The sequence below is a fragment of the Homo sapiens genome, chromosome 9, assembly GCF_000001405.40.
Source record: "Homo sapiens chromosome 9, GRCh38.p14 Primary Assembly".
Lineage (NCBI taxonomy): Eukaryota > Metazoa > Chordata > Mammalia > Primates > Hominidae > Homo > Homo sapiens.
Genome location: NC_000009.12, coordinates 135,295,168 through 135,301,707, shown reverse-complemented (window position 1 = coordinate 135,301,707; position 6,540 = coordinate 135,295,168). Strand labels below are relative to the sequence as shown.

Below are 6,540 nucleotides of genomic sequence, written 5' to 3'. Positions count from 1 at the left end.
TTTCATTCAACCAACACATCCAGTACCCGCCGTGCCCTGTACCGCCCCCCTCCGCCTCCTATCGTCCCGGGAGACTAGAGGTCACTTCCCTGCTTTACCCAGGAAAGAACCAGAATGCAGGTCTCTATGCCCACGGCCGTGCAGCGCCACGACCTCACAGGGCCTCCCGGGGCAGTCCCATGTGGGAGCCCAAGAAGGTGGGCATTGCGTTGAGCTGGGAGATCTCTGAACCCTGGAGAGTTCCCCAAAGCAGTGTTTTCTGATGGGACATACCCGGCTCCAGGAAGTCACCCCTGCCAACCTGCCTCAGGGTCTGAGGTGGTGACTGATCTCAGGGGCTCAGGTCAGGGGCAGGGGCAGGTGCAGGAGGCGGTGGAGGGGGAGAGGGGCAGTTTGAGCTCGAGGACCCGCCCCTGGGACTCTCTCACCTCTAGCTGCACAGAGTTGAAGAAGCTGCCCCACGGTGCAGAGTGACCAGGAAGTCTCGTTGATTTCTTGCCTTCCACAGGGGGACTCTAGCTGGCAACTTTGCTCAGGGACCCGGATTTTGGATTTTTACTTTATACACACCAGCCAGGGTGGAGTGTGGGCTTCTTTGGGACTTTTGACTTGAGGCAGAGTCTCCCATTCTGACTGGGGGCTGCTGTTTGAGACAGCTGGAGGCTGGGTGGATTAGCTGCTCACTCAGCTGATTCTCCTCCTCCTTCGAGACGCAGGGCCCTGATCTAGCTCACGCCCCATGGCTCCCTGAGGAGGTGGCAGACACCTGGAGACACAGGGAGAGGGAGAAAGGAAAGAAACCAGGCATGGGTGGAGCCTCCGCCTTGAGCGTCTGCCCACACCTGCGGGTGGTGCCAATTCCAGCCAGGAAATGCTTCTCCCAGCCTCCCCTCACCCAGGGCGCCCAGCCCCAAGCCCTCCATCTGGGCATCTTCCTAAGCATTGGGCCCCACGCCAGGGTGAGCCTCACCCGTTGCAGTCAGTGGGGGGACTGTGAGTGGGGACAGCAGGTCTCTGGGACAGGGAGGAGCCCCAGCTTTCAGGGAAGATGCCCTGCCCTGATTCTGGGGCTTTTCTGCGGGTGCTCCCTCCGCAGGAACGTCCCCTGGCACCCACCTTGTCCCCTCCCCCTCCACATGCCTTTCATTCAGGGTCAGCCAGAGAGAGCCTTCCCTTCGCAGACATCCTCATCCCTGGCACACCGCCTCCTCCTACCTCACAGCCGCCCCGTGGGACTCGTTCCTGATGATCCAGGCAGGGACGTCTGCCTCGCTCCCATTGACTGTCCCGCTGCCAGCATGGTGCTGAGTGCCCAAGGGTGCTTGGCACTCACTGGGCGAGTGGGTGAATGAATGACTGACTGAATGAATGATGTCCTCCCCTTCTCTGCACTGAGCCCACATCAACCAGCCCAGGAGGCTGGAGCTTTGTTTGCTCCGGCTCTTGCTCCTTCTGGAGCTGGGTGGGGAGAGAGAGCCTGGAGCGCTCTACAAGAACCATTCTCCTCTGCCTGGCGGACCCCTATACATCCCACAAGACCCAGCAGCCTGGGCATCAGAGGAGCTGTCCTTGAGCAGCACAGGTGCCCGCCCTGCCTCAGAGGAGCTGTCTCTGAAGGGCACAGGTGCCCGCCCTGCCTCATGGGAGCTGTCTCTGAAGGGCACAGGTGCCCGTCCTGCCTCATGGGAGCTGTCTCTGAAGGGCACAGGTGCCCGCCCTGCCTCATGGGAGCTGTCTCTGAGGGGCACAGGTGCCTGCCCTGCCTCACGGGAACTGTCTCTGAGGGGCAGAGGCACCCACCCTGCCTCTCATGCTGTGCCTTTGGCCTCGAAGGTGCTGTGCTCACTAACCAGTCACGCTCTCGCCACGTGTGCTGAGTGCCCCCTCCGTGCAGGGCTGGCCTCGCCATGTGGGCTCTGCCTGGGGAGGTGGCACAGACACGGTAGTGCAGCTGGCATGGGGTGGAGAGACACTTCTGCCACCCTCTGAGGGCTCCACAGCCGACCATGGGCTGATGAATAGCAGAAAATGTTCTCAAGGTGTCACTTGCACATGGCATCACAGGAAAGAAAAGCGAGTGCTGCAAACACCCCGGCTTCATTGAGGAGGGGTGGGGATATAGGCAACTTGGGGGGCAGGAAATGACCTTTGGGAAAGATGAATGGGCCCTCGGAACAGGTGATCGTCTGTGAACAAGACTTTCTGGGTGTGGCGTCGACCACTAGCCTTTTCTCCTGGGAGCCTGGGCTCATCCTCCTGGTTGATGAGATTCTCCTGCTCTCGGAGGCTCCGTCTCTGGGCAGGGGAGGGGCCCTCAGGAGCGCTGTTCTCTGCATCTGCCGTTGTTCAGCTAATCAACGCGCCAAGCAGCATCTTCTGGGGTGGTGTGTCCTGAACTCCTTCACTCACTTTCAATCTGAATAAATGCTGTGAAGAAAACAAAACAGACTATGGGGCAGGCAGGTGGCAGGGCCAGAGGCTCTTCTAGGCTGACCTGTCCCCATTGAGAGGCAGGGTCTGCGTCTTCCCCACGCTCTGACCTGTGACTTGCTGTCACCAACGGATGTGGTGAACACATAGGCTCGTTCCGGAGGCCCTGCAGCTTCCCCCACTTTGGGGACACTCACTCTGCCCCATAAGAAGTCCCACTGTCCTCAGATGGCCAGCCTGGGAGCCACGTGGATTTTCCCCAGGGATCGTGGACGGGCTCAGCTCCGTGGAGCCTCTAGACGGCGGCCCTGCCAAGCCCTGACAGAACCCCCTGTGGGAACTGCCCGGCCAAGTCCTCCCGAACTTTCGCCCCATAAGATGGTGGTACCAGTGAAGGATTTCAAAACACACTGCCCCAAAGCACGCCGCTTGGGCAGACAGAAAAGTTCCAACCAAAGGCACCTGAGGAGGAGCGCCACATGCAGGGCAGGCTCTCTGGCCTCCCTCTTTCTACCTAAAACAGGTCACAAAATCTCCTATGAGAAAGGTGCCCTTCCTGTGCCAGGAAGAGAGGAACATGTTGTGTAGACCAGGAGTCTACACAGAAGTGGATTTGCACAGACAAAGCTGTGGACACGGCCCTCCCTTCATTAGCCTCCCCCAGTCACGCACCCACAGCTTTCTGCCTTTAGCCCAAACCTCTTCTCCACAAACTGACTGCTTCTTTGTTTAAAAAGTTTATACGGGCCGGGCGCGGTGGCTCATGCCTGTAATCCCAGCACTTTGGAAGGTTAAAGCGGGTGGATCACCTGAGGTCAGGAGTTCGAGACCAGCCTGGTCAACATGGTGAAACCCTGTCTCTACTAAAAATACAACATAAGCCGGGCGTGGTGGCGGATGCCTGTAATCCCAGCTACTCGGGAGGCTGAGACAGGAGAATCACTTGAACCCAGGAGGTGGAGGCTGCAGTGAGCCAAGATTGCGCCACTGCACTTCAGCCTGGGCAAGACAGAGCGAGACCCTGTCTCAAGAGTAAATTAAAAAAAAAAAAAAAAAGTTTACATGCCCAGGGTCCTAACTGCCTCTTCACATCTTCATTTTTCTGATATGAGTCCTGCGTGCCTGTAAAAATCAATCAAACGTGTACGCTCTTCTCCTGTTAATCTTTTTGCCAGTTTAATTCTCAGGCTCAGCCACAGAACCTCCGAGGGTAGAGGAAAGATTTTCCTCCCTTGTGCTAGATGGAAAAGCCAGACTCACTCACTCACTCACTCATGCAGCCAACGTTTACTGAGTGACTATATGTGCAGGTGCAGGACCCAGGCCAGCACTGCGCTGGCTCCCGGCCGTTGCTATCTGCTTGGTAGCCTTGGCAAGCCCCTTCCCACCTGTGGGCATGGCTGTCTCCACCGGTGGGACCCCGTGGTCTTAGCAGCCTTTTCTCATCCAACGTCAGGATTGGCAGGTGTCTGACAGGCCCCAATGGTGTCAGCAGATCCAGGTTCTAGTCCAGGGGCTAGAGACGGAGAGTGTTGCTCTCCTCACGCCTGTATTGGGAGGGAACAGGGTACTCTAAAACCCAGGCATGCTTCCAGAAGACTGTGTGAGTTTCACCTGAGGCCATGCCCTGGAAAAGAGGAAAACACAGAGGTATTTGCAGATTTCACACCCGGAGTTTTGACTTCTCTTGTGTGAAAGGAACACCCTTGACCTGAGGCAGTTCCTCTGTCGGAGCCCAGGGGGTCTCGACCCAGCATCTCACGGGTCCTGCGGGTTCTGGCCTGGTGCCTGGGTAACCTCGAGGAGGCCTGGAGGTGGGGCTTAAACTTGAGATTTCAGTTCACTGCTTTTGGAGTGGGAACTTGCTCTCAATGATGGGGTTTGCAATGTTTTGCAAGGTTCTCAAGAGACAGTGAATGCCACAGGACCCCTGCCTGCCTGTCAGCATCCTGGGGGCGCCAATAGTGCCCTGAAAAAAAAGAAACTAGCAAGTTAATGGCAGGTGCTTCCAATAAGCACTAGGGAGGCAGCTCCAAGCCTCCAGCCTCTCGGGGCCCACAGCACAGGCAGCCGCCTGGCAGCCTCCCGTGCTGGCTGTCTCAGGCAGCCCAGGAGTGGTGGGGGACGGGGTGGCGGGGGACCAGGGGCTGCCGTTTCACTTTTCAGGCTGTAACCTTGGCTTCTTGCCATTGAGTCTAGGCAGCCACATTTATCAGGCGGCAGAGTGGCTCCCCACTTGCATGCCCCCCCCCCCGGTTTATTTAATCAATTCCTATCGTCTGACCTTCAGGTTGACCCTGCTTTTCTGCTATTCCAGACAGACACAGCCAGGGACACAGGTGCAGCTGAACTCCTGACTGAATTCAGCAGTAAAAACTCTGAAGACCGCCCTGCCTCACCTCCTGTTGATGTGGCCTTCAGGGTAAACTCCCTCTCTGGACCCTGAGGGGATCAGCCTGAGGCACCCCAAAATATGCCATTTGGCATGAGGATGATCTCGAGCTGAAAGTAGTTAAGGGTCTGCAGGTACAGGAAGAGTTCTGTGCCCTCCCTCTTTCTGCCTAAAATCAGGACACACACCTTGCTTTGGGAAGGTGGCCCCCTCTCCTGCACCAGGATAAGGAGACCTTTTATCACTGGAGATGCAGTCGGCCCTAGATGAGTCTGCAGAAACGGGTCTCAGTAAAATAATCCTTAACCTCCATTAGTTCCCCCCAATATTTCCTACTCTCTTTCCCAGATGTATCACCCGCTAGAAGATGGAACCCCTTTTCCTTTGCTAAAATGGCATATAAGGCCCTGGATCTTACTGCTTCTCTGAATTTCACTTCTTTTCTGCGAACTCTGTGCTAACTGTTCATGCAATTTGTATTCTTTTCTGTTCATCTTTCTTTTACCAGTCAATTTGCAGCTCCCCAGGTACCAAACCTAAGAGGGTGGATGAATTTTTCCTCCCTGACAACTGTCACAATCTTTGATGATATGTATGGCAGTATGCAGCTTTTATTTTTGTGAGAAACAAACTCACCCGTCCAAACCCGAAACGTGGACTCAGAGACCCGGAGAACAGCAAAAGTGAGACTTTTAATGATGATTTTGCAAGATCAGGTGTCTGATGAGCAGGCACACCCACCACAGTTTCAACAAGTAATTTATTCCCTAGCGCACGGGCCCCTTGCCCGGTTCCTCATAGGCTGAGTACTGTGGGGTCACAATCTTCCTGGATGTCGCCTGTTGGTTGTTGGGCAGGGGCTTTAGGTGTCTTCTTTAGGGTGGTCTTGCTGCATTTTGCTGCAACCCACAATGCATTGCAATCCTAGTCACCTCAGGGGCTCTTCAAGTATTTGACTTATGACTTAAGTAGCTGGGCAGGCTGATAAGAACAGACAAAGTGAGCTATTTTGCAGACTAGTAAACTTTCCTTTTAGACTAAACTTCTTTGGTTCGGGTGAGAACAACTAAGGGGTTGGCTGGTGACAAGCAGGTGTTGGCTATCCAAGCAGGGGCCTAGTATATCCTGTTTCTTCGGTAGCTTGCTGACCTAAACCCATTCAAGGCCCTTTGTCTTGGAAATGGACCACTATAGACATGATTTCTTTCAATTCCCTCCTCGTTTTCTTTTTAACCCTATTGGTCCCATTTACACATTGATTTTTGTGTCCTTTGGTTCTTAAATTTATTAGGTATTCTTTTAGGGACTCCTATTGAGTTCATATAAAAGTTGGGATTAAAATAATTTGTTAGATCTTTCCAACTTTAGTGGCTGTGTGGATTCTCAGAGATCTTATGGAATGCCAGGGTGAATGGAATGGCTAATAGAGCTAAGGCACAAGTCCTGGTCCAGTTGGACGGTAACAGGTCATGGAGGCTCCTCTTCCCACAATACCACCAGACATCAGCCCGGGGTTATGAAGAGCCGAGTCGTTGCCTTTGTTGGACTCACTGGTAATATTTAGGATGTGGGTACAGGTTGAGAGTTCTCCCATGGACTTATTGAACTCTGCCGCCTACCTAGAGAGGCAAGAGGGGTGGTTCATATTCCCTGTGGAGAACGAGGGAATTGCTCTAGGGTCTGATCTCTGCAAGGCAGGAAAGAGCAATGATAAGACT

The 6,540-nt window shown here is 54.5% G+C and overlaps 1 annotated feature.

The window, feature by feature from the left end:
- Positions 3,303 to 4,099: an enhancer, noted in NCBI's record as "H3K4me1 hESC enhancer chr9:138189455-138190251 (GRCh37/hg19 assembly coordinates)". NCBI's record gives its function as "activates a minimal SCP1, AML or CMV promoter by ChIP-STARR-seq in naive H9 embryonic stem cells {active_cell/tissue: H9 hESC(naive)}" and the evidence as "EXISTENCE:reporter gene assay evidence [ECO:0000049][PMID:30033119]".